Genomic DNA, 26,276 nt, shown 5'->3' with positions numbered 1-26,276 from the left:
TTCCTCAAATACCTATTGAGCACCCACTGTGTGCCAGGCCTGTAATCCCAGCTACTGGGGAAGGCTGAGGCAGGAGAATTGCTTGGACCCAGGAGGTGGAGGTTGCAGTGAGCCAAGATCGCACCACCACACTCCAGCCTGGGCGACAGAGTGAGACTCCAACTCAAACAAAACAAACAAACAAAACCCCAACTAACTCTAAAAACGTTGATCCTACTTCTCCCTGATCCTCTCATGTTATAGAGGCCTTTTTTTCCTGGGTCTTCACAGTTTTTTCATAGAGATTCTTGGATACCTTATTTTTGGTTTGGATTTCGTTTCTCCAGGGCTACCTTCCCTGATGCCTCCCCCATCAACTCATGTATATATACATGAGGATTATAATGTATAATAATCTTCATTATACATTGTTAATCTCCATTATTCATTCTCTAATTACCAAATACCTCTCCTTGGTGTGGAGGAAAAAAATATTAAATTTGAACTCAATTGAACGTGGACACAAACAATGGTCACCAACTCCCGGAACAGGTTGTGTGAACCCCTTGAGGCATTCATCCAGCACAGTTTCGGAGAAATCTCCATTTCAATCTATTCCTATACATTAGTTATTGAAAAATAACAGACAATCACAAAAACAAGTTGACCTTTTTGTGTTCCTTGAGCCCAGTTGCGAAGGGCCCTCGTGACTGGACCTCATGCCAAACAACTCGTTACAAAAGAGCTAGAGTCCCAGACTGTGCCGAAGCTTCACAGACCTCTCCTCGTCTGTGCACAGATGAGTGGCTGACTCTGGAGTCCAGGCTATTGCTTCCTGGCCTGGTGATGAATCCTCCATAGTCTGGTGGTATAAATATATATATATATATTTTTTTTTCTTCTCCCTTTCCCATTGCAATTTGCTTATTATATCATTTGCTTATTATATCTGCATTGCTAGTTATATGGGATTCAAAAGTATTGTGTGTGCCTTTTCTTCTCCCCTCACACGTTTCCCGCACAGAACACTTAGTAGTGCTTATCACTGTTGAATTCTTACATTTATTGAATTAATTATTAAAAGTGTATCCATAATCTGTTTCCCTCCCTGAGCTTCCTAGAGGAGGCCATCACTAAGAATTTGCCATGGAACATGCCATTTTTTGCTCACTATTTTTATATCTAGTGCCTAAAACAAGGCCTGGCACACAGTAGGTGCTCAATGGGTATTTGAGGAATGGCTGGATGAATGGATGGATAGATGGCAACCTAATATCAGTCAGCAATAGCCAGCCCAAGGGTACAGCAGACTTCACAAATTGTTCTTGTACCTTCTAAAACAATTTTGAAAAACAATGTTACATATACCCACATTTAAACATTTATGTTAATTTTCATCATTAAGTTTATATGGTTTCAAGAGCATAATTTCTAATATATTATAAAGCTGGAATTTAAAAATTAAACTGTGGGCCAGGTGCGGTGGCTCATGCCTGTAATCCCAGCACTTTGGGAAGCCAAGGTGTGTGGATCACCTGAGATCAGGAGTTTGAGACCAGCCTCAAACTGATGAAACCCCATCTCTACTAAAAACACAAAAATTAGCCAGGCGTGGTGGCAGGTGCCTGTAATCCCAGCTACCCAGGAGGCTGAGGCAAGATAATCTCTTGAACTCAGGAGGCAGAGGTTGCAGTGAGCCAACATTGCACCATTGCACTCCAGCCTGGGCAACAGAGCGAGACTCTGTCTCAAAAAAAAAAAAAAAAATTAAACTGTGGCATCATTCTTCAAGTGTACCTATTAATCTGTTATTATTTCTAATATTCTCTTTGATTTGCTTCCACAGTTCTGTCCCTCAATATTCAAGGAAGGAAAAGCAAAGTTGTTGAATTAAAAAATGCCTAATTAATCATTAAAAAAGACTGAATTAAAGTATTAAAGGAAGTTCCTAGTTTGGGGACTTTGATATTTTTATACTTGGGGCAATGGCACCTTATTAAGATTTGTGAAGACTGACAGGTATGATTTCCTTTCATACAGTAGGGGAAGGGTTATGAACACAGACACGTGCTCAGGCAAACCAGGTTTAGGAAAGAGTAGCTGCAGAAATGGAGAACTAACTGATTGTCTAAAAATAATCCTTGGTGTGGCCCTCCTCTTTGGAAAGCCTTGCAGACTCCCATCTGGGGTAATGCAGCCCAGTGACCTGCAGAGGGCAGTGTTGGACAAGCTGTTGGTTCAATCTCTCTGTCTCTTTCTCAGGGTAGTGGAAAGTGCAGTCCAGCTTGGATACAGTGGGAACCCGGCCTGGGCGGCCCAGCCCAGTCCTCTCTGGTGTGTGTGTTTGCACAACGAATTATTCACAGGAAAATGGCTCCAACGAGAATGGTGGCCAGAGACTCCATCCTGTACCTAGAACCAGGGCCTGGGACTGTAAACAGGTGAAAACCTTATTTTCTCTCCCCTTCAATAACTGGATTTGGAACAGAAATCAAGGATTGAAGTTGTGGGTCTGAATCAACCCTAAGGGTTTTGTTTTCCCTCTTATGAAGTGAAAACAACAGTGAAATGTCAACGATTCACATCTTCAGGAGACGGTAGGGCAAAGTGGCCAAGAGCTCAGACAGTCGGGAGTTCCCATCCCACTCTACCCTCTCCAAAGCTTAGGTGAGGAGCCTTTCCAAACCTCAGCTTCCCTGGATATCAAATAGGAGCAATCTTACCCTCCTGGCAGCGGTGTTGTGAGGATTAAATACAAGAATGCAGAAGTACTCCTCAAATGAAGGGCATTCAGCAAGAAAGAGCCCAGTAAATAACAGTGATAATGGTGAAGAGGACGATATTGAATTGGCATCTTGCCAGGCATGACATTTTCAAAACTTTCCATTCATGTCTGAAGAGGAAGGATCAGAGGTGAAAAATCAAACTGTCTCAATGTTGTAAGTTTTACAAGCCTAGGAGCCAGAGGCAGAAACAGCCAGGGCAGAAGGCAGAATCAACACATTGAGAGCCTAGCTCTGTGGCGTTGCCCACATCTGCCTTTCAGGGTCGGGGCTCCCATCCTGGTGTTGAAAAGAGGATCTTTGCATCTAAAATAGTGTGTATGATGACTGTGTGACACGACCACCAGACTCAGAAATACTCACCTGCCTCAGACATAAAAGTAAGGACTTCGTTCATTACGTTGATCCTCTGTGAAACCTCAAAAGGTAGCAATCAGCTAATTGAAGAAAAATGATAAGTTGGACACATTGCTTGGATGTACTGAAAGTAAGGCTCAGAGCAAAACCCGCTCCCTTCTGCCTCATATTGGGAAAGGTAACAGGGACTAGTGCAGAGAGAGGCATGGAGAGAATTCGGATGAGATCATTGTCCTTTCACCTGGCAGCTGTCCAGCCCCCAAATAGCTTTTGTGTCCAGTCCAAAAATAAGATCACATGAGAGGGGGAGAAATAAATATACAGTGCTTGTCCTTAGCCTTTCTGTGGGCATACCAGTGTCAGCTGCACTTGTAGGGGCCCAAGTGCCTCATGACCCACTCGGCAGCCTTCCTCTCCAGGATCCCCAAGGCTAGGAGGCCAACCTACTAACAGGTGGGTGGGTATGGTGTGTGGTTTCACTCAGTTCTTCTCATGGGGTTTCTCTGAGCTCCATTCATACCAGAAAGGGAGCAGGAGAGAGAGGACAAGTGGATCCAACAGCCTTCGCTCCAGGGGAATCAGGGCATCGCCTCCTTTTCTGGGAGGACACTCCCTTCTGATGGTGAATGGGAACTCCCTTCCTCCTGCAGCAGCCTGCCTGCAGCTGTCCTGGTAGAACAGTGTGGACATTGCAGAAGCTGTCACTGCCCCAGAAAGAAAGCACCCCAGAGCCAAGGCAAAGAGGTGAGTGCATCTGTTTCTGCAAAGGGCTCAGATTGCTACAGACTTTCTGCTTGGCTTCATGTTGTGCTCAGCGTGAACGTTCTCCCTCACCCCCGCCTTCCTGTTCTCCTCCCTGATCTGGGTCTGTGGCAAGCTTGAGTCTATGTGATGAATGCTAGAGTGAAATATTCCTGTACTGCCTTCTCTCATTCAAAGGCCAATTCACTCCCAGAAAGAACTGGGTAGGTCTGGTTCTTAGTGGGGAAGCAGGAAATGGTTCCTACTAAGTGAATTATCTTTGCTGAGATCCAAGAAGACGTTTACCAGGAAATCATTAGACAAATCCCATTACAGTAGACTTAATGCTTCATTTTAAAAAGCACTGAATGAAATAGAAAATAAAAGGATGCCAGCTGATTCTTTGTCGTTGGCAAAAAGGAAAAAACAAAAATGAGACATGCAGAGCCTCTTTTTCCCCATCACCTCCCTTCCCCATCTCTTCCTGATTTCTTAGAGCCCTGCAAAACATACTTAACAGATTCAAGAGTTCCTTTCTCTGGTTGAAAACAAGAGGAATAAAATCAGGGGTTTGGGGAAAATTGCTCTGTACACAGACTTCAGAGACAAAGAGGAGAAACAGATTTTGCAGCCTCGGTCTCCCCTATAATGCCTCCTCATAGAACATGTACCTATATCCATTTAGGGATATGGATAGACGCCACTATCACTTCCACACACAAACTGTTATCCTGGATGTAGTCTGCCCCTGGGCTATGGACTACAAATACCCATGCTAAGAAGCAACCAACAAAATTCTGGTAGGAACAAGGTCATTACTTGAATAAGTCAGGATTCATTTAGTAACCATGGACTGAAACCCAGTTTGAAGAGATTTAGGCAAAAAGAGGATTTTTTTATTAACTCATGTGCCTGAAAAAGCAAGGTTTTGGTATCATGAGATCCAGGGGCCTAGATGATGGCATCATGAAGCTGTCTTTCCATATCTTGGCTTTGCCTCCCCTGCGTCCTTCTGTTTCCAGGAAGACCTGCCCATTGTGAAGGCCACATGGCTGCAGCACCTCCCAGCTGACATCCTACTAGCACAGCACCGTACAAGAACAGGTGCTTCCCTTTCTAGTTCTAGCTAGAATCTCAGGGTCAATCTCATAGAACGAATGTGGGTACTGTACCCATCCTTGCCATGGGCATGGAGTCATTCCCATCCCCAAAACTGCATGGACTGAAAGCAATGAAGGGGTGTTTCCCCAGAAATGATCAGAGTTCTCATCCCAGGACAAAGGGGGCTAGATGCAGGGTGGCCGAAGTCAATGGTTGCCACTCTATGTTGCTTTTTTGCAATGGTCTAGATTGACTCAAAGCTCATCTGATAGCAGCTCCTCCCTCTTACATGCCATAAAAATGTATTAGTGACAGAAGTTCTCATAGGAAGGATAATTATTAGTGGAAAAGGTGACTAAAAGACTCCATGGCATGTTATTCCTAGAGATCCTTGAGAGTAGGAAAGACAGCAGGATGCTTGTCTGTGGCTTAGCTCCCAGACCATGCACCAGGCCCAGACCCACCTGGGCTCCCAAATTGCCCATGCTCACATGGGTCTCCCTTCTCCCTCACCCACCCTTGCCCAGTTCTGTCTCCCTCTCCTCTTCTGCTGTGAACTCATCTTGACTTGTGAGGGCCCACCTTGGTGCTGTCTCCCCTCTGAGGCCTTATCTGGCCCTTCCAGACTTTCCTGCTGTCTCCCCTCTCTGAATCAGAATGGCATTGACTGTCAGGATTGCAGTTTACTGTTTATATGTTCTTTAAGAACTTCATGTATCTTAGTTTCTCTCACAGCTTGAATTCTCCATTCTTGCGGGAAAATTAAGTTTCATTCCCAAGCCCTCTCTGTGGTAGCTAATAGATACTAGGTGCTTGATTAAGTGCATCCAGTTAATTGACCAATAGAAAATGAGTCTTCCTAAATAGATTAGGGAGAATGGATGGATTACTTGGGGTCGTTAATTCTTTTTTCTTTTTCTTTCTTTTTTTTTTTTTCTTTTTGATACAGAGTCTTGCTCTGTCACCCAGGTTGGAGTGCAATGGTGAGATCTTGGCTCACTGCAACCTCCGCCTCCCAGGTTCAAGCGATTCTTTTGCCTCAGCCTCCTAAGTAGCTGGGATTACAGGCATCCACCACCACACCCAGCTAATTTTTGTATTTTTAGTAGAGACAGGATTTTGCCATGTTGGCCAGGCTGGTCTCGAACTGACCTCCTGACCTCAGGTGATCCACCCCCACCTCGGCTTCCCAAAGTGCTGGGATTACAGGCATAAGCCACTGCGCCCAGCCTTGAGGTCTTTAATTCTGACTTTAGAAGTAATATAATAACTATAGCAAACACAGATGGTATGCTGGAGTCCCTACAGGCATCATCTCAGGTAATCCTCACAATGACCCTACGAGGCAAGTACTGCTATTATCCCATTTAGCAGATGGGTAAACCAAGTCTCAAAGAAATGAGTTACTTATCCTAAATTATACATCTAGTAAGTGGTGATGTGCAGACTATAACCCAGGATGCCACCTTCTCATTTCCTATTCCACTAATCATTTACACACCTATCAGTAGAATTTCCTGCTGCCTGAGTTTAAAGAGCAAAGGGCACAGGTGATGGGTCAGAGAGCAGGAAGAAGTACATGTATTTTAGACCCCTCTTCTGCCACCTGGGTGCCCAGTACCTCTACTGGGAAGTTCTTATTAGATTCTACCCAGGGGTGAGGGGTCACTCCCCTGCCCCAGAGCCTACAGGAATGTCAGGGATTTCACAAAAAGAGGTGTCTCTGGGACTCTGCAGAGAGTAGGGTGCTTTTTAATTAAACGGGGGTAGGGTGGTCTTTGCGGGAAATGTTGGCTAGAGGGTAGGCTTTAGAATTTAAGCTTGCCCCTTGGGCTGCCGGTCAGTACATTATGGCCCTGCCCTTTCTCCTACCCGCCACCAGGGTGACCAAGCTGGGGTCCTCCCTCAGGGTGTTTGGCAGGATTTGGAAGGCAACCAAATTCTGATCTCAAAGAACACCAAAATCTTGAGATGGTGATTTCTTGTACCATCTGTGCCCCCACATCAAGCCACTGGACTCGGCTGATGCAGTCATCTTTGTGCTGGCAAAACTTTTGGTTCAAGTGTATCTTGTTTCTTTGATGCACACTGGCCTATTCATATGGCTTCATATCTTGGAAAGAGCAGATCCTATTGATTTACGTCATTTTCTTTATCTTTACAATATCCTGTGGCAGTGTGAAAGAGCTGGTGTTCTCACCTTCCTTCCATTGATAGCACAACTGAGGCATAGTGAGAGTGAGTCGTGACCTTTGCACAGAAGGTCCCAGGCCAGGAATGTAAGAGATCTGAGGTCTTTAGAACCCAAATCTGCTTGGTTCTCCATGAGGTTATGATGGTGGGCAGGGTGGGGGGGAATACATATATACAGAGAGGCAGATAGACATAGATAGATAGATAGATAGATAGATAGATAGATAGATAGATAGATAGATTATAGATAGATAGAGATATAGATAAATTCTTCGGGTAAATCTTTAAGAGAAAAAAAAAACACTGCTAGACCCAAGAGAAATGAACACATGTTCACACAAAAACTTGCCCATGAATAACAACAGTATAATAATAGCCAAACAGAAGAAACACCCCAAATGTTCATCAGCTGATGAACAGAGAAATAAAATGTGGTGTATCCATGCAATGAAATATTATTCAGCAATAAAAAGGAAAGAAATGTTGATATGTTCTCCAATACAGAAGAACCTTGAGGACATCACACTAAAGGAAAAATGCTCATGTTGTTTGATTCCATTTATATGAAACGGCCAGAACAGGAAAATCTATAGAGACAGAAAGTAGATGAGTGGTTGCTTAGGCCTGGCAGGAGGGAGGAATGGGGAATGAACTGCTAATGGATATGGGGTTTCTTTGGGGGGTGACAAAAATATTCTAAAATTATAGTTGTGATGGCCGCACAACTTTGTAAATATACCAAAACCACTTAATTGTACATTTTAAATGGGTGAACTTCAGAGTATGTGAAGTATATCTCAATAAAGTCATTTAAAAACCCAAACCAGCCTGGCCAATATGGTGAAACCCTGTCTCTACTAAAAATACAAAAATTAGCCGGGTGTGGTGGCGCACGCCTGTAATCCCAGCTACTCGGGAGGCTGAGGCAGGAGAATAGCTTGAATCCTGGGAGGTGGAGGTTGCAGTGAGCCAAGATCACTCCACTGCACTCCAGCCTGGGCGACAGAGTGAGACTCTGTCTCAAAAAATAAAAAAATAAAAATAAATAATTTAAAAAACCCAAACCACTGCTATTGAAATAATTAACCCCGCGACAGGGCTTTGCCAAAGGATGTGATCTCACCCTGTAAGCTCTGAGAAGCTTGTCTTGTCCCATAGAGCCTGGCCATAGGTCACTCACACAATTCCACTGAGAAGAAGATAGATGGAAAAGATAGGATCAATTAATTTCTCCTTAGAGTCTAAACCAGGAGAGTTTTTTTCCTCTTTCCTGGACAGACATTTTAGATTTTTTAGAATCAGTCTCACTACTTTATTTTCACTTCTGGGTTTTAAATCATGCTTCCAAAAGTGTTTCCCATTCTAAGATTATAAATCTTATTAACTAATGTTTTCCTCTAAGGCTTGTCTCTTTACACTTAAACCTCGGATTCATCAGGAATTTAAATAAGAAACTGGGGATCCAGATTGGGTTTGTTTGTTTGTTTGTTTGTTTGTTTGTTTGTTTTTGCCAAATAGCTAGACAATTATTAAACCAGAAGTTCTTAATTTGGGGTTAAAGTGTGCCTGGGGCATCTTGTAACTTCCTGAAATTAAATGTAAAACTGTGTGTGTGTGTGTGTCTGTGCGTGTGTGTGTGTGTGTGCGTGTGTGCGTGTGTGTGTGTGTGTCCTGGGGAATAGAGCTATAGATCTTGTCAAGATTTTCAAGAGGTTTTGTGACTCAGGAAAACCAGTAGGCTTTCTATATTTCATAACCTGCTTGGGGTTATGTTGCATACACTCCAATATACCAAGACCCAATCTAAACCAACAGGATAGTTGTTAAATCATTACAGGGGAGGCCTGAGAGATCACTCTGTTCTCTGTCACATGTCAAGTGAGAGTTGCACCATCTTTTGGTTTGATGTTCTGCTGAGGCAAAGAATGAGAAGTCTCTCAATGGTTCCTCTTGGGTCTATAAAGCTTTAGTTTGTTGTTGCTGCTATTCTTTTTGAGACAGGGTCTTTCTCTGTCATCCAGGCTGGAGTGCAGTGGCGTGATCTCAGCTCACTGCAACCTGCGCCTTCTGGGCTCAAGCAATCCTCTCACCTCAGCCTCCCAAGTAGCTGTGACCACAGGCACATGCCACCACACCCAGCTAATTTTTGTGGGGTTTTTTTTGGTAGAGAAGGGGTTTCATCATGTTGCCCAGGCTGGTCTTGAACTCCTGGACTCAAGCAATCTGCCTGCTTCAGCCTCTCAAAGTGCTGGGATTACAGGCATGAGCTACTGCACCTGGCCTAAACTTTAGGTTTTTAATCATCAATTGACAAATCAATGGAGATAGTGCACAATTTTAGCTGACAAAACTTGGGGCCTTCCTGTCACAAAGACTTTGAGGAGGCAAGGTTCACAGCCTATAGTCCCATAAATATAAATAAATGATAAACTGAAAACAAAACTGCCATTACAAAGAAGGTGGCAGATCCTATGTGCAGGCTCATGCATTCATGTAATAAATGTATATGCAACACCCACTATATGCCAGGCATCGTCAAGACTGGTAGCTCTCAAAATGCAGTCCCTGGACCAGGAGCAGTAGCAGCAGTTAGAAACTTATTAGAAATATAAACTCTATTTCAGTAGGCCCACCCCAGATCTACTGAATTAGAAACTCTGAGGTTGGAGCCCAGCAATCTGTGTTTTAACAAATCCTCCAGGTGATTCCAGTGCACACTCGAGCTTGAGAACCACTGGTCTCGGTACTGAGTATATAACAGTGAGAAGACAAAGTCCTGCTCTCCTTGTGGAATTTGTATTCCAGTGTATGTGGTAGGGGAGACAGAACAAGTAAGTAAATATTTTATTTATTTTATTTTATTTTATTTTATTTTATTTTATTTTATTTTATTTTATTTTATTTTATTTGAGACAGAGTCTCACTCTATCACCCAGGCTGGAGTGCAGTGACACTATCTCGGCTCACTGCAACCTCCACCTCCCGGGTTCAAGTGATTCTCCTGCCTCAGCCTCCTGAGTAGCTGGGGTTACAGACGCCAGCCAACATGCCTGGCTAATTTTTGTAATTTTTAGTAGAGACGGGGTTTCACCATGTTGGCCAGGCTAGTCTCGAACTCCTAACCTCAGGTGATCCACCCGCGTCGGCCTCCCAAAGTGCTGGGATTATAGGCATGAGCCACCACGCCCAGCCTAAGTAAACATTTTATGAATACAATAATTTTGAGAAAGTAGTAAGTAGTATGAGGAAAAAGAAAGTGGGAGATGTAAAAAGACAGTGATAAGGGGCTGATTTAGAACGGGTGGTCAGGCTGCAGGTGGCCTGAGCTGAGACAAGAATAACAGGAAAGAGCCAGCCAGGCAAATAACCTAGAGGCAGAAAATAAATGCATAATTCTGGGCAGAGGGAATGGGAAGTACAAAGGCCCTGAGCTAGGACCAAGCCTGGCCCGTTATGAGGAGCAGGTGACTGGAGCACGGTGAGCAATGAGTATGTTGGGGGAGAACTTGCAGAGGCAGGTGGTGGTAGTGAGCTTGGCTTTTGTTCCTAGTGCAAGGGAAAGGCCCTGGACAGGTCTGAACAAATACGTACATGGTCTGATTTACCTTTTAGCAGGTTCCTTCTGAAATGAACTGTAGAGGGTTAGGGTAGAGCAGGGAGGCCAATTAGGAAGATACCCCAATACTCCAGGCAAGAAATTTGGTGCTTGGATGAACTAGACCAATGTGCAAACATCTATTATTAAGTGAAAAACAAACAATTACGCAGGACATTGTGCACAGTAATGTGTGTTTTTAGCATACACATATTCAGGGTACAAAGACAGTTTTCTTTCCTGAAAGGATCCATACATTCAAAGTGAATAGTGGTTATCTTTGGAGAAAAGAGGGTTAATGAGTGTCGTTTTATACCTCTTAGTGCAGTGTTATCATGTGCACAGAGTGTTCGTTTTAAGTAAAGGTAAAATTTTTTTTTATTTTTTATTTTTTCCCCAGACGGAGTCTCACTCTGTCACCCAGGCTGGAGCGCAGTGGCGCGATCTCGGCTCACTGCAAGCTCCGCCTCCCGGGTTCGCCGGGTTCACCGGGTTCACGCCATTCTCCTGCCTCAGCCTCCCGAGTAGCTGGGACTACAGGCGCCCGCCACCACGCCCGGCTAATTTTTTGTATTTTTAGTAGAGACGGGGTTTCACCGTGTTAGCCAGGATGGTCTCGATCTCCTGACCTCTTGATCCGCCCGCCTCAGCCTCCCAAAGTGCTGGGATTACAGGCGTGAGCCACCGTGCCCGGCCAAGGTAAAATATTTTAAAATTAAAAAACTAGGATTGAGGGGCCGGGCGCGGTGGCTCACGCCTGTAATCCCAGCACTTTGGGAGGCCGAGGTGGGCAGATCACGAGATCAGGAGATCGAGACCATTCTGGCTAACACGGTGAAACCCTGTCTCTACTGAACAAAATACAAAAAACTGGCCAGGCGTGGTAGCGGGCGCCTGTAGTCCCAGCTACTCCGGAGGCTGAGGCAGGAGAATGGCGTGAACTCGGGAGGCGGAGCTTCCATGAGCCGAGATCGCGCCACTCCACTCCAGCCTGGGCGACAGAGCGAGACTCTTGTCTCAGAAAAAAAAAAAAAAAAAAAACTAGGATCGAGGAAAACACAGTAGAATAGGCGACAGACAATCAATATTAGAGGAGAGGAAACCCAGCTCTCATGGGTAGGACCCTTCCCAAGCATCCTCCCCTGAAGTTGCTGAAGAATCAGGCTAACCAGCGGCGGGCAAGCGCATATGATTGGATTTCAGTGGGATCAGGGTGAGGCACCTTCCTTCTTGAGGGTCATTGGACTCAGCTTCTGTCCTGCAGTTCTGGTGATGTTTGTGGCTGGCTGGTCTCCTTGAGCAACGAATACAATTTCCCATGAATGTCTGCTGCATTTCCCATTGCCCTCTGTCATCGTGGCGCTTGCTTCACCATGAGACCAGGACACCCTTCATCTAACTGCCTCATTGGGCATAAACAGAGGGAAATGTGTTGCTGGAGGGAGAGAGTGGCATGCAGCATCCAATTTCTCCCGTCAGCTGATTAAGATTTGTTGTGCCTGAACACGGTCAAATGAGATTAGAAAGAAAATGCAATGTGTCTGGTGTGTGTTTCACATAACTGTATCATTTGTGTAAACAGGATGAATGAAGGGGAATTTTTAAGGCAAATATTGAATGTCATTCTCAAGAATCAAGGACAAGACACCAGGGCTTATGTTCTGCCTGGAGAGAAAAAAAATGTATATATTGGGGGCATTTTGAACCCTGTTGATTCAATAATGCTCTGCTTCTTTCATGCTGGTACAGTTAAAATGTGATAGTTATATGTCTGATTTTCAGAGACACTGAGCACAAAATAAGTAAAACCACAGAACCACCACATTCTACCTTTGTTGCCCTTCTAAAGCTCTTAGGAGAGGTGTAGAGCCACTTTCTGTAATAGCAGCTGCCTAAGTGCTCTGCATTGAGTCCATCTGTTAGGATGCGAAAGGAAAAATCTCACCTCTGGCAAGAGCCACAACATTTTAGATGTGGATGACTCCGGGGCAAGCCCACGTCTCTGTGGATAAACCTACTAGAATTTTTTTTGGTCCTCCAAACCTGTAATTTTCTTCCTTTCTCCAGGGACCCCTCTGCAGTACTAGCAGCCTCTCCTACAAGGTTTTATCAGGGCAGAAATGGCTTTTAAAGTGGTGTAAGAGCTTTGGAGGAAGACATGATTTCTGTTACATGTTCTGCATACGATCTAGCATATTGTGGATGCTTAATAAGCAGCTTCGACGGCTATTATTTCCACTGACTATTTCCAGGCACAGAGCTGGAGGGCTATTCTGAGACCAGACTTTTCGACTAGGTCATTGCAAAGTCCCTTCCTACTCTAAATAACAGTGGGGCTGAAAAGCATTCACATGATCATGTCTCCAGACTGGGAAAAATCTCAATATATGTTATTTAAAAGGTAAATCTAGATAGTAACAGAAGTTCAAATAAATGTAGAAATTGAAGGATATTATAATGAAATTTTAAAAAATTTCCACATTGGCGGGAATTATATTACAGTAAATACCTTAACTGAGGATTATTTCCCAGTATTTGGACAGTAATATTGCCAAACACCCAATATGCAGTAGATAAATTAGCATATGTCAGTAGCTAGGGATTATATTTGCCTAAAAGCTGTGTGTGTATGTGTGTGTGAGTGTGTGTGTTTAAACAGGGTTTCACAACTGGACATAATGGAGAAATAAAATAAAATAATGACTTGCATTTGCATTCCCTGCGTTCAAGGTGCTCGAACACACTTGGACACATTTGATTGTCATGATAATCCTGTGAGTTTGCAGGGAAGATATGAGTAGGAAAGTCTCATTAATTTCCACTAGGAGGGGGGGAATCTGGAGCCCTTGGGCTGAATTGCCCAACAATGGCCAACCACACAGTGCAGGCAGGTTAACACGGGGTTAACCTAAAGCAGGGAGACCTGGTTTTAGTCACAATGAGGACTTTAACTAAGGGTACCACCTGAGTGAGTCTCTGAGTCTGCATCTCTGTCCTTAGGATTTTTAGGGTATTTTCTAACTTTCAAGTCTATCATTTCACGTAGTTAAAAAGGGTTAACATGCATACTACATCTAGCATAATGATTCTTTAATACTTGGAAAACCATTGTCCAAAATATTTTCTTTAAGGATTCAGAAGGCCCTTTGGAAACTTGCAGATACTCAGGAAGATTATTATGTTTTAAAGCAAATTATCAGTATCCTTTGCAGGTGTAGAAGTGGTAGTTCATGAGGGTTCCAATTAATAGGGTCTCAAGAAATCAACATTTTCTGTATATTCAAGTCCCTTTTGGGAGCTGCTGCTTATCCGTGATTGGAGTTCTGTGATGATTGAGCCTCTAGCTCTTTAGTACAGGACACGAGCTCCTTCTCCAAGGCTCATCCCTTCAGAAGGCACATGGATGGCTTCCCCACACCCCCATGCTCTGTGGGGAGTGTGGGGAACAAACTGCAACTCCATCCTCTCTACACCTAAGCAACTACCCAGAGGAGGTAGAGACTGGAGAGCATATTTCTAGTTCTGACAGGTCGATCTGTACCTCTCTACCTGAATCATCAGGTGAGCAGGCTTGTGTACATACATGGGAGTGCATGCGTGCACACACACACACACACACACTCATGCCTTCTGGGCTCAAACGCCTGCATAAGCAGGAGCGACTCTTCAATTATTGGAAACTATTAATCATGTTTTCATTTGGTTTCTTCAAAGACAGCTCTTGATCCATATCCTTTCAGTCCACCTTATTCCCCACCTTCTAGCCAAAGAGTTATTTGTCCAGACAGCTCCCTCCCTTCCTTACCCTGTCCTGGCCAGAAGTCTAAAGAGGATGTCCATGGCCCATTGAAGAATTTCCCACCCCTGAAGTTGAGCTCACCTGAGGATTCACCTCATCCAACGGGGACAGGCTTGAACAGTGGAGAGGGAGGACAGAGCTGCCACCTCTGCAGCCCCTCGCCAGTCCCAACCTGGATGGCTTTTGCCTCGATTGACTTCGTAAAATGCCATTTGTAGGGCTTGGCTCTGGGGATGGCACAGACAGACACACACACGCACACATACACGTTGCCACACACAGACACCTACACCCCATGCAGGGATGCCAGATGACAGAACAGAAAAGGCCTCCCTTTCATCCAGCAGCCTTCTGACTCCAGAGGAGAGTCTCCGAGCCACGACCTGCTGTTTCCCTGGCAACTCAGGCCTCAAAATAAACAGGATTCTGCTCAGACGGGCCAGAAGTCCATTCGGCTCACACATTTGCCCCAAGACAAACCACGTTAAAATAACACCCAGGGTAGCTGCTGCCACCGTCTTCTGTCTCTACCTCCCTCCTGGCTGGCCAATGGCTCTGTGTTCCTGGGCCTGCTGCTGGCTGTCCAGAGTAGGGGTTGCTTAGAGCTGTGTGCATCCCTGCGGGTGGTGTGGGAGTGGGCGGTTGTCTAAAGGCAGGTCCCCTCTACTGATAAACAAGGACCGGAGATAGACCTAGAGGCTGACATTCTTGGCTCCCCCAGCCTACACCCCCCCCACCTCGATTTCCCACAGAGCCCTAGGGACGGGTAGCCAGCTCTGTGGCATGGTATCTGGAGGCAGGCCAGCAACCTGATGTGCATGCCACGGCCCGTCCCTCTCCCCACTCAGAGCTGCAGTAGCCTGGAGGTTCAGAGAGCCGGGCTACTCTGAGAAGAAGACACCAAGTGGATTCTGCTTCCCCTGGGACAGCACTGAGCGAGTGTGGAGAGAGGTACAGCCCTCGGCCTACAAGCTCTTTAGGTAAGAATCAGGGCATCTGATCTGGGAAACAGAGCAGGTTATAGCTGAGGTTGTGTGTGTGTGTGTGTGTGTGTGTGTGTGTTTTGTGTGTGTGTCCAAGTGCAAATGTAATGCTACTTGGAGAAGAAAGAAAATGTTTCAAGCAGATAGCACTGGAACCAGGACTCCTGCAAGTGAATCTCAAGAAGCTCACCTTTGGCTGGGTTTAAACCATGGTGCAGACTGCTCTGGGGGAAGGGCATGCTGATGTCACAGACATGTAAAAATAGTACTTCTAGTTTAGAGACTGCAAAAATATGAATGCACCATGCCGCCACATTATCTCCATTCCTCCAGTGCCCGCCTGACACTGGCCCTGAATCAGGGCTGGAGGGGGCAGGCATTTCTCATTTACTAAAGTGCTGGATGCAGCCCTTGAGGTTCGGCAGAAGCAGAAAGCTGCGGTGAGTCTGGCTGTGGTGAGTGTGGCTAGCATTATCGTGCTGTGTCACACTAGCTCTCTCTTGGGAAGCCTGGATATTCAGCTGCCTTGGAAAAGCTGTCCACATGGTGGGCAGCTTAGATTTTATTAACCTTTTGATATAGAAGTCAGGCTGAAGTTTAGGATTATCTGGGTGTGTCAGCTCAGGGTTTTGGTAGGGTGGTATTCCCATGGCCCCATGGTCACTCGGATTACTTCTTTCCTTCCTTTCTGATCTTGGAATATCACATCCTCGTTTCAGTACCCCTCCGATGGGCACTAGGAAAGAAGGAGTCAGAATGGACAGAGTCTCTGGCACATACACTATCCACACCCACATCACAATTACATGCCAAAGGTATGCAAGGCTGCTGCAGAGGAGCACTTCAGAAATGCAGCCCTCCAGATACTGAGATGGAAATTTCAGGCATTTAATCAAGTACGCACTTTTCAGAGACCCAAGGGAGGCCCAAGGGCTCACTCTGCCTCAGCAGAATTCAAACACTCCATTATTCTCTAGCTATGTTACATCCACCCACCACCCCACCACCCCCGCTTGCCTCCCTCCTTTCTGCACTGGTGACTGGCACTTTTCCTTTCATTCTCTACAGGGATGCGATTGTTTACGAGTTAGCTCCCCGACCCAGTGGGAGGACTTGAGCATCCCGGCTGAGGGCGAGCCAGGCTGCCCCTCCACCAGCTCTGTGTAACAGTGAGCCAGCAGCAGTGGCATCAGGGCTGAAAGGAGTGGGCCTCGCTTTGGGAAGTGATGTCTAGTGAAGGGTGGCCAGCAGTTTACTGGAGCTGTTTGTCAGTGTGGATGACTGAGGATTTTGGTGGAGACTCTGATTCACAGTCGCAAATTCCCTTTTCCTTTGTTTTCTTTGTGTTGGTCTTTGAGGGCTTCCGAGGAAAGTCCCCTCTTGAGATGTTGATCTGAAGGCAAGATCAACAATTTGCTGTTGGCAGAGGGACTCAGAGAGACTTTCTTCTGTTGCCCCTGCCTTTGTTAGTGTGAATAAATGGGTTTGCAAATGAAGTATGTAATCCAAAGCAAACTTAGTATGCAAAACTTTAAGAGAAAACACAATGAGTTTCTTTTAAATTCTCTCTCAAATCTGCTGTTTACATATGACTTGACTAGTTCTGCAAAGGATCAAGGAAGCCATATCTGGTTAAGTGGTTTGACTTTACAGGTGAGTAGCACCAGCCATGATGATAACATTCAGTGGAGATGGTGGGCGGACATCCATATGCCGTATCTACATTGAAGGGACATCTCATCTTGGGACAGTGCAGCCACTCACTTAGGTGACATGCATTCTGTGAACTACACATAAACTATTAGGATCTTGGGACTGCTGTTACAGGAAAGAGATCCAGACCCCAAGAGAGGGTTCTTGGATCTCAAGCAAGAAAGAAGTCAGGGCGAGTCCGCAGTGCAAAGCAAAAGCACTTTCTTTTTATTAAGAAAGTAAAGTGGTGAAAGCACAGCTGCTCCACTGACAGAGTAGGGTGTTCCCAAAAGTAAGAGGAGGAACACATCCATCCTAGGTACCATGCTCGTATATATAGGATTTTAAAAAGATCATGGGGAGATGTGCTCTGCTACAAGGGTTTGTGATAAAGGATAAAGGATTAATTTTCTTTTCCTTTTTTTTTTTTTTTTTTTTTTGAGACAGAGTTTCACTCTTGTTGCTCAGGCTGGAATGCAATGGCACAATCTCGGCTCACTGCAACCTCCGCCTCCCGGGTTCAAGCAATTCTCCTGCCTCAGCCTCCCAAGTAGCTGGGATTACAGGTGTGCGGCACCATGCCCGGCTAATTTTGTATTTTTATTAGAGACGGGGTTTCTCCATGTTGCTAAGGCTGGTCTCTAACTCCCAATGTCAGGTGATCCAACCGGCCTCCCAAAGTGCTAGGATTACAGGTGTGAGCCACTGCACCTGGCCTAATTTTCTTAATTACTATATTTTGCAAGAATCCATATTATCTTTAAAGCAAAATTAGGAATGCATTTGTTCTCAAAATATCGGGCTACCTGGAGACTCCCAAGTCTGAGTCTGTGTAGTAAACATTATCAATCTATTCCCTTAACCATAAATATCTGGAGTCTAGGAATGCCTAATTTTCTGGGAATGCAGCCCAGCAGGTCCCAGCCTCATTTTCCCAGCCCTCACTCAAGATGGAGTTGCTCTGGTTCGAACGCCTCTGACACTGTCAGCCTGTATGCTAGCTCCCAGGGGTTAGGTATTGTGCAGAGTGGACACACCCATTTCCACCTCATTAAATAAGCAGTGCATGGCTAATGCAGTATCCCTTGATTTAGGTTGCTGGAAAAATAATCTGAAGTTGTTTGTGCCACAGGCATACCATGCTTTAGGTAAATCTAACATCTATACATGTGGGTGAGAGTACTTTTTCTGAAGAAAGGGTTCACTAATCAACAAATGTTCAAGTACCAGCAAGGCGTCCCCATCTTGAGATATGACTGGATCCAGCCCAAACAACCACAGAGAAGGAAGGGGACTGATTGGGTGGGCAGGTAACAGAGAATGGGCCTGGGCTAGCGTGTCCAACTCAGCGGAAAGATAAGCAAAGGAGTCCAAGGTACAGGAACAAGAACAAGCATCTGGGCCAGTGGCCTACAGGGAGAGAAAAGGGGAGGGAAGGAATAGCAATTATTTTGATTATTAAATACACCATGGTTTAAACCCAGCCAGAAGTGAGCTTCTTGAGTTCACTTGCAAGAATCCTGGTGCCAATGCTAACTGCTTAAAACATTTCTCTGTCTTTAACTTTTTCGTTGTTTTCCCCTTTCCTTTTTAATAATTAAATTATACTACTTACGAGAGGGAGCATAACACATTAGCTAAGTACATAGATTCTGTAGCTGGGCTGCCTGGGATCCAAATTCTGCCACTTATTAGTCCTGTGACTTTGGCCCTTGGTTTCCTCATCTGTAAAGTGGGGGTAATAAAGTACCAGCCTTGTTATGGAAGGAATCAAATGAGTAATGCCCTTATCAGCACAGGGTCTAGCTCATAGTGAGTACCATGTATTTGCTATTATTATTATTATTATTCAAAGGTGAATTCTAAAAAGGCTGCTTTGGCCAGGTGCGATGGCTCATGCCTGTAATCCCAGCACTTTGGGAGGCCAAGGCGGGTGGATCACCTGAGGTCAGGAGTTCAAGACCAGCCTGGCCAACACGGTGAAACCCCATGTCTACTAAAAATACAAAATTACCTGGCATAATGGCACACACCAGTAATCCCATCTACTTGGGAGGCTGAGGCAGGAGAATCACTTGAACCTGGGAGGCAGAGTTTGCAGCGAGCCGAGATCGCGCCATTGCGCTCCAGCCTGGGTGACAAAAGTGAAACTCTGTCTCAAAAAAAAAAAAAAAAATAGAGGAGAAAAGGCTGCTTACAAGTCCATTTGTTCCAAAGCCCAAAGTGACACTCTATAAGTGACCCCTGGTGCCACTGCTAGGGTAGCTTGGAGACACATTTGCTTTGGCATGGAGCTTTGTTCACATGTACGCGCACTCAGACATGGAACAGCTTTTGGACCGGTCCCCAACATTTATTGAGCCCTTGCTGTGCCCAAGCACTGTGCTTGGCTGTAAGTGTATCACCTCACTCAATACTCATGACAACGCTGCATATAATAGTAGGGGCTGTTATAGATGCAGGAATTGAGGCTTGTTGGGTGGGGTGTTTGGCTAAGGTCACACAGCCACCAAGTGGCAGAGCCAAGCTTCATACCTAGGCTGTCCAGCGAGCCTGTGCTCCTCACTGATAGGCTGTATATGGTTTGGGGGGATTATGAGAGGTGTCCTGAGAGGCACATGGAGCTTGGTGATAGGAATTCAGCACCAGATGATATTGGAAGACCCTAGAAAGTAGGCCAGGATTTGGAAATTCTGCTAAGAGATGGCAGGACCTTAGCTTGGGCCATAGGTAGAATCTCAACCTTGAGGACCCATAGCCTCTGGGATTGGGTCTTTGGGGCAAGACATGAACACAGGCACTGGGGAACAGTGGGGCTAAGGTTTTTCTGACCAGGTAGTGGACGGTGCCCAAGAACAAAATAAACAGAGTGCTAACAACAGAGCCCCAAGCACAGCAAGCGTGCTGGGCCAGGGGGCCTTACAATCCTCAAGCCTAAGGCCAGAGGTCATGTTGAGCTAAATTTGAAGTCAAGATTGGGTAAGTATCTGAGCACAGTACAATTTACAATAATGAAAACAATTTGATTTGCCAATGCAATCCCTCTAAATATTATATTTAAAATGTGACTTACAGAGATTTGTTTTATACCAAATTGCTCAAGACCGTCTCCTGACCTTGTCCAAGGAATGTTGGTGATGAGAACAGGTGTGAGGGGCGTGCCTACCTTGCACCAGGGCTGTGTCAACATGGGGTATTACTCATGGACATGACTCATCTCTGCTCCTCCAGGAACTGTGGCTTTGTCCAGGGGTTTTCAAATTTTAATGTGCATAAGAATCACAGGGGAACTTGTTTAAAAATCAGGTTCCTGGTTGCTCCCCACAATTTTGATTCGGTGGCTTCATAAGGGACCCAGGATTCTGCATTTTCTGGGTGGGGCCTAGGTAATTCTGTTGCCTTTGGTCCACAGAGCACAATTAAAGAAGATCAGGTCTGGCTGTTGCTCGGCTTCCTTTCTCGTTGTGACTATGAGAGGGAACACAGAGTTGTGTGGACTCAGTCATGGCAATTACCCTCTTCTTTGTCATCACTTCTTCCTGAAATACCTGGTGAGACCACCCCTATTATGATAACAATAACAGCACATTTGGTACATATTGAGTTATTATGTGCTGGGTACACTGTGAAGCCCTATGCTTGGGCTAGTCTCTCATTTAATCTTCACAACAATCCCATAAGTGAGGTATTACTATTTTACCCACATTTTATGAGCAAGGGAAAAACCTCACTGGTAGTAAGTGACTGAGTGGGGATTTGAACTCAGAACTAGCAGCTTACCAGAGCCTAGATGTGTAACTAACTGCTAGGCCATTCAATGAGAGTAGTTTTAGCTCCTGTCAGTACCACGCTCCTTTCTCATTCTTCAGTGGGGTGTCTTTCTCCAGTTGCCATTCCTGTCATGCCCATCCCATTCCCAGACTCCTGTGTCCTTTCTTCAGAAGACGTGTCTGGTGTTTCCTTATTTTTATTTCATTCAATGAGTCGAAGACAGTTGTGGCAATGGACATGTGGTGGTAGGTGTTAGGGTTGAGTTGTGTCCACCCCCAAATTCATAAGATGAAATTCACCCCCTATCCCCTATTGCCCGAGAATGCAACCTTATTTTGGAGATAGGGTCTTTACAGAGATAATCAAGTTACAATGAAATCATTAGGGTGGGTCCTACTCCACTATAACTGGTGTCATGCATAGAGAGAAGACAAAGTGAGTGGACATAGGAAGAAGATGGCCATCTACTAGCCAAGGAGAGAGGCTTGGAACAAGTCCTTCTTTCATAGCCTCAGAAGGAACCAACCCTGCTGACACCTTGATCTTGGACTTCCAGCCTTCAACACTGTAAGAGAATAAGTTTCTTGTTTCTGTTGTTTCAGCCACCCAGCCTATGGTGCTTGTTATGGCAACCATAACAGACTAACCCCGTAGAAAGCCAGATTCCTAGGTTCCCCCGCTAGGCCATGGCTCTGGGGTGATCTGGTTGAAGGCCTACACATGCTGCAAAGGTTTGGCAAATTGGGAGCAACAAGTAGGCCCAAGGCCCAAGAGGGAAGAAGGAATGAACAGAAAGAGTGAAGAGGGAGGAAGGAAGCAAATGTAAATAAGAGAAGGGAGGCTGGAGGAAAAGAGGAAAGGGAGAGGGGATTGGGATGGGCCTACTGAGGGCCATGTCAGGTTCATTCAGCTCAGCATGGATGCCTCCTGTGTGCCAGAGGGCATGTGAGACACTGGGCTACAGCAGTGCCTGAGGACAAGAGCCCCCACCTTCATGAAAGTTAGAGGCTAGATGGGGGTATAGACATCAATCAAGCAGCAATTCTACCGAGTGGTCCTGAAAAACCACATGGCAGGGGAACTTGACCCCAACAGGGGGTCCTGGAAAGCTTCCATGAGGAGGTGAGGCTTGGGTTGAGGTCTGACGGATCAGCAGATTTCAACTGGTGAGGGCAGAATATTTCAGGTGGCAGGGAGAGGAGCATGCACAAAGGTTGCCTGGTGTGAGGAAGCCTGGCATCACCAAGGAGCGGGAGGAAGGCCAGTGTGGCTGAGTGCAGGGATGAAGGGGAGAGCCAGAACCCAAGAAGCAGGCGGGGTCAGACTGTGCGGCCATACTGAGGATTTAGTTCCTTAAGCTGTGAGCCCTAGAAAGCCAGGGGAGAAAGTGATCCTATGTAGGGCAGTCTCTCATTTCAACGAAGGGAACGATGGGCTAGAAGGGCAGATGGCAAGTTTTAGCAGTGGGTCAGCCCTGGAGAGAGACGTCAGGCTTTCTGAGCTCACACACCCAAGGTTGGGTGCCTGGCCATTAGGGAGTGAAGTTCCAGGCCACTCCTCAAAGTGTTTTAGCCATAGTCCTTCCTCAACAGAGTATGCTCTAGGAATTTGCAATGGCTCCACTGGGAAGGGTCTGAATAGGGACTCTCCTGTCAGTACAGCTAATTAGTAAGCTAGGCAGCCGGGCCAGGCTCAGACTGCAGTGGACTAGGCAGCCCCTTCTTTGGCATCATTTGAAGGACACAGAAAGGTCTTATAAATCTAGCCTCTCTTTTGCCTGCCTGTACTTTGCCTGAAGTTGCAGGAGCAGGCGTGCATTCAGAAGGTGATTTATTCATCAGGGACTGTGGCGAATGGCAGAGATTAGTCCAGGCAGAGCCCATGAGAGCACTGGGGGAGAGAATGGGTGGAGACAAGCCTGGAAAGGGGCAGAGGGCGCTGAAAGGAGGAGTGCAGAGTACCCGAAGCCCAATTTGCCTTTTTCATGATGTCACCAAGAAGCAGCAAGGTGGGTGCTGCGGGTGAGGGAGAGTCCCAGGTTGGTGTTTGCAGCCTTGCAGGTGCCTGAATGACTCCATTCCGAGGCAAACACATCCATCACTGGGGAGCTTCTCAGCTGTTGTTGGCATGATCCGTATGTAAAAAGTCTGCATATAAAACCGAATGCCATGCCTTTACCACATACCCCGTCTGCCACAAAAATAATTCCCTTCTCTTCAGTTTGAGCAGAGGGACTGGATTTGGCTTAGCAATGATGAGTTCCTGAAGCATACTGTAAGGGAGAGTGGTGATTTTCAGGAAGGTGAGAAAGTAGACAGGAGGCCTCTTGGGGGGTAAGATCCATCTGACTCTTACCCATCCGACATCACACCAACCCATCCAGCCCTGGCCTCCTGTCTGCTCCTCTGCTGTTCTAGGCCCTTTCCTGACTCTCAGACTTTGCAACTGCTGTTTCATCTGCCTGGGATGCTTTCCCCCCAGTTCTTCAGGTAGCAGGCCTCTTTCCATCCTTCAGGCCCTGCCTCTCTTGTCAGTTCCTCCAAAAGTTTTCCCTGTTTCTCCCCTCTGACTTATTTTTCCTTCATGCCGCTTACCTCAATTCGTAATTTTCTTGTCAATTTTTAAAAAAACTTTCTATTACCCATTCTCTCCCTTAGAATGTAAGCCTTATGAAGGCAGGAATAAGACCTTGTCTGTTTTGCTCCCTGCTATATCCCCAGTGAATAGGACAGAGCCGTGCCACAGGGTAGGTGCTCAAATATCAGTCTAATGAATGACTGAGTGAATCACTAAATGTTGGGAGTGTTAAAGCCAAGACTCAGGACAGCAATGGGACCTTCTACCCTCTGTTGTCCCTTATAGCTCTGGAAAGGGGCCTGGAAAGTAAAGCTGAGACTTTTGCATCAAGAGCCTCTCACCCTAACTCAGGTGGGCTGGCCTCTTGCAGTTCCCAGGACCCTATGCTATGTGTCAGCTGCTCTGGCTTAGTCGGCTTAGTGTCATCTCTGCAGAGAACTCACTTCGGAAGCCTGGAAAAATCCACCCTAGTGGTATTATTCATGCTTAGAGATGAATAACTTCTTTTGGCTGATGGGCATCAAAGACAAACAAGTGATGTCAGGCACCCAGAAGGGAGACATGGATCCAGCATGTTCCAGCCCTTGCACCCATGGAGACAGACAATGTAGCTCATCTCTGCCTTCCCCATCAGTCTGATGGGAATAGTGGAAGCAGTTTGCATTGATTAATCAATGTGTGCAAAGTGCTGAACCAATACCTTTAAGGACATAAAGAGCTTCTAGAAAATGAGACTCTTCTTATCCTTCGTCAGAATATCTATCAGAATTAAGAAACAGCAACTAAAGGAAAGTTGAGAATGAATGCTCCAGAGTCGCTCCCTGGAGTCTACGCAGAGCAAGTTCGCAGCCCAGAGGAGAAGAGAGCTGCTGCCCGGGCCAGTCCAGGCTTTTTGCAGTTGGCTGCATTGCCTTTGGTGATAAGGTGGTATTTAAGTTATAGGAGTAAAACATTCCTCCTTGAGCCTTGATTTGTTGTTGTTGTTGTTGTTGTTTTGTTTTTTGTTTTTGTTTTGAAGTAAAAATGGGGATCTTTCTAAATGGCAGAGATGCAGGGTGACTTCAGAATGGTTTCTTTCAATTGAGAGTTATTTCCAAGGATGAAATCTTCACTCAGTTGGCCACACAAAGCTCACTGCCATTCTCCCAGGCTGGTCCTGGGATGTCTTAGCTGAAGGCATGTGAAGCAGAGCCCTAAGCTCCTTGGAAAGCTAGCTCACACAGAAGAAGACAGGAATACTTCTGACAGTTCTGACCCATCTCTCATTAACCTTTCCCTATTTCAGAGCCACAGCCTGTGGCACTCTGGTAGGGTAGCATGTTGGTCAAAGCATGAACCCTGGAATGGGACTGTCTGGGTGTGAATTCTGGATCTGACGTTCAATAGCTGCGTGACCCTGGTCAAGTTACACAACCTCTTTGATTCCATAAAATAGAGATAATAGCAGCGGTTCTGTCCTAGGGTTGTTGACAGGAAGATGTGAGTTAATATATCTAAAGTCTATACTACATGCCAGCACTGCATCAGTGTAACTTGTTCCTATCTCATAGGATTGGTGTAAGAATGTAGGGAGAGAATCCACGTAGAGTGCCTAAAATGTTTTAGCACGCAATGCACAGCACCTAGTATTTGCTCAATAAGATATGAATGATTGTTGCGGCTGGCAAATTTTCTGGCAAAGGTTTTTTGGAAGTCTTCATGAGAATGTACTTGAATTCAAAAAATGGTACTAGGACATGCAGGTCACCTGTTTCCCTGCTGTTCCTTTGTCGGCCTTTTTTCTTCCAGGGGAAGATTATTATCCTGTGCCTTTTAAGCACTTGAAATCCTCATGTCAGGAGCCTAGAACTAGCCGAGAAAGAAATAGCCTCCTTAAAGAGGTTACGCCCAGGGCAGACACAGGCTACTTGTTCCGAAGTTTTAAGCTGTAGATGTTCCCAAAAAATGATTAAAGAAGAGTTGACTTCAATAGATCCCTTTCGCTCAATGCACAAAAAGGCTTTGGGGTTCCCAACCAGCCAGGGGGTGTTCAGTTCCTCAATATATGTACGTTTTGAAAATTCTGCTCAATGTCCCCTGGCACTGAGCTTTGAGTTCAAATCATTTGGACAGTGACTGCAGAGATAAAAGGACAGGCTATTATAGGTGGTAAATTGCACAGCCATTTTGCATTTTGGCTGCCCGATGCTCCACCCTCCCTTGTTGGGTGACCTTGGGTGGGGAACAGGTCCTGTTTACATTTTAGTTGCCTTATCTGTAAGAGCTCCTGTCTCAGCGGACGGACGGTGGTGGAGGTTAAATTCAAGGTGGCATGTAAAGCTCTCAGCATAGCTGTCTCTCTTGATTCTTGCTAATTCTCTTCCCCTTCTTTTGTGGTCCTCCTGACTGCCTCATAGCTGTGGATATGGAAAAACCCAGTGGTGATCAATGTTTTCGAGGTCTGAGAATATTCCCTTGCACCAGGTGACCATGAGCACATCACTTGGCTTCCGCACCAGCACAGAGAGATGGATTCTGGGAAGGGGTCCAGGTCGCAGTCTGGAGGAGGGGATGCTGGCAGCCCCCACACTCCCCTCAGCCCATCCTTTCACCAAGGGAGGCCAGAATATGGATTTTCACTTGCTGCTCCCCTGGGTCGTTAGGCCTCTCATTAAGGCCTGAAGATTTTCTCCTGTACAGAAGGTGGACCTCTTCCTGTCCCACTA

General features: G+C 45.8%; 1 protein-coding gene across 24 annotated transcripts in view, besides 7 other annotated features; it reads left to right on the top strand.

Annotated features, from left to right (window-relative positions):
- Positions 2,243-2,292: a silencer, noted in NCBI's record as "silent region_16473". NCBI's record gives its function as "represses an Ori minimal core promoter by ATAC-STARR-seq in GM12878 lymphoblastoid cells {active_cell/tissue: GM12878}" and the evidence as "EXISTENCE:reporter gene assay evidence [ECO:0000049][PMID:35858748]".
- FGF1 (fibroblast growth factor 1) overlaps positions 3,415-26,276 on the top strand; it is a 105,893-nt gene continuing 83,031 nt past the window's right edge. For 3 of the 24 annotated variants that reach the window (NM_001354964.2, NM_001354958.2, NM_001144934.2), the window contains exons 1-2: positions 3,464-3,572; positions 3,770-3,863. The gene's annotated coding sequence lies outside the window, so the exon portion shown is untranslated. Of the gene's footprint in view, positions 3,864-9,855; positions 9,986-14,989; positions 15,050-15,394; positions 15,529-15,781; positions 15,987-17,670; positions 17,790-26,276 lie in introns of those variants that run through there. The other 21 variants (NM_033137.4, NM_001354962.2, NM_001144935.2 and 18 more) reach the window with 15 other exon arrangements.
- Positions 14,586-15,449: a promoter, noted in NCBI's record as "-891 to +31 NcoI/DraIII promoter". NCBI's record gives the evidence for it as "EXISTENCE:reporter gene assay evidence [ECO:0000049][PMID:7713933]".
- Positions 14,879-15,449: a promoter, noted in NCBI's record as "-540 to +31 promoter". NCBI's record gives its function as "drives expression in the brain" and the evidence as "EXISTENCE:transgenic organism evidence [ECO:0001131][PMID:11175337]".
- Positions 14,927-14,952: an enhancer, noted in NCBI's record as "RR-2; -492 to -467". NCBI's record gives the evidence for it as "EXISTENCE:reporter gene assay evidence [ECO:0000049][PMID:9054460]".
- Positions 14,927-14,952: a protein binding site, noted in NCBI's record as "-492 to -467". NCBI's record gives the evidence for it as "EXISTENCE:protein binding evidence [ECO:0000024][PMID:9668116]".
- Positions 14,935-14,952: a protein binding site, noted in NCBI's record as "-484 to -467". NCBI's record gives the evidence for it as "EXISTENCE:protein binding evidence [ECO:0000024][PMID:20189986, PMID:22415835]".
- Positions 16,052-16,921: an enhancer, noted in NCBI's record as "NANOG-H3K27ac hESC enhancer chr5:142064129-142064998 (GRCh37/hg19 assembly coordinates)". NCBI's record gives its function as "activates a minimal SCP1, AML or CMV promoter by ChIP-STARR-seq in naive H9 embryonic stem cells {active_cell/tissue: H9 hESC(naive)}" and the evidence as "EXISTENCE:reporter gene assay evidence [ECO:0000049][PMID:30033119]".

The sequence above is a fragment of the Homo sapiens genome, chromosome 5 (genome assembly GCF_000001405.40).
Source record: "Homo sapiens chromosome 5, GRCh38.p14 Primary Assembly".
Classification (NCBI taxonomy): Eukaryota; Metazoa; Chordata; class Mammalia; order Primates; family Hominidae; genus Homo; species Homo sapiens.
Note: the sequence above shows the minus strand (reverse complement) of the source record. Positions and strands in the feature narration are given on the sequence as shown.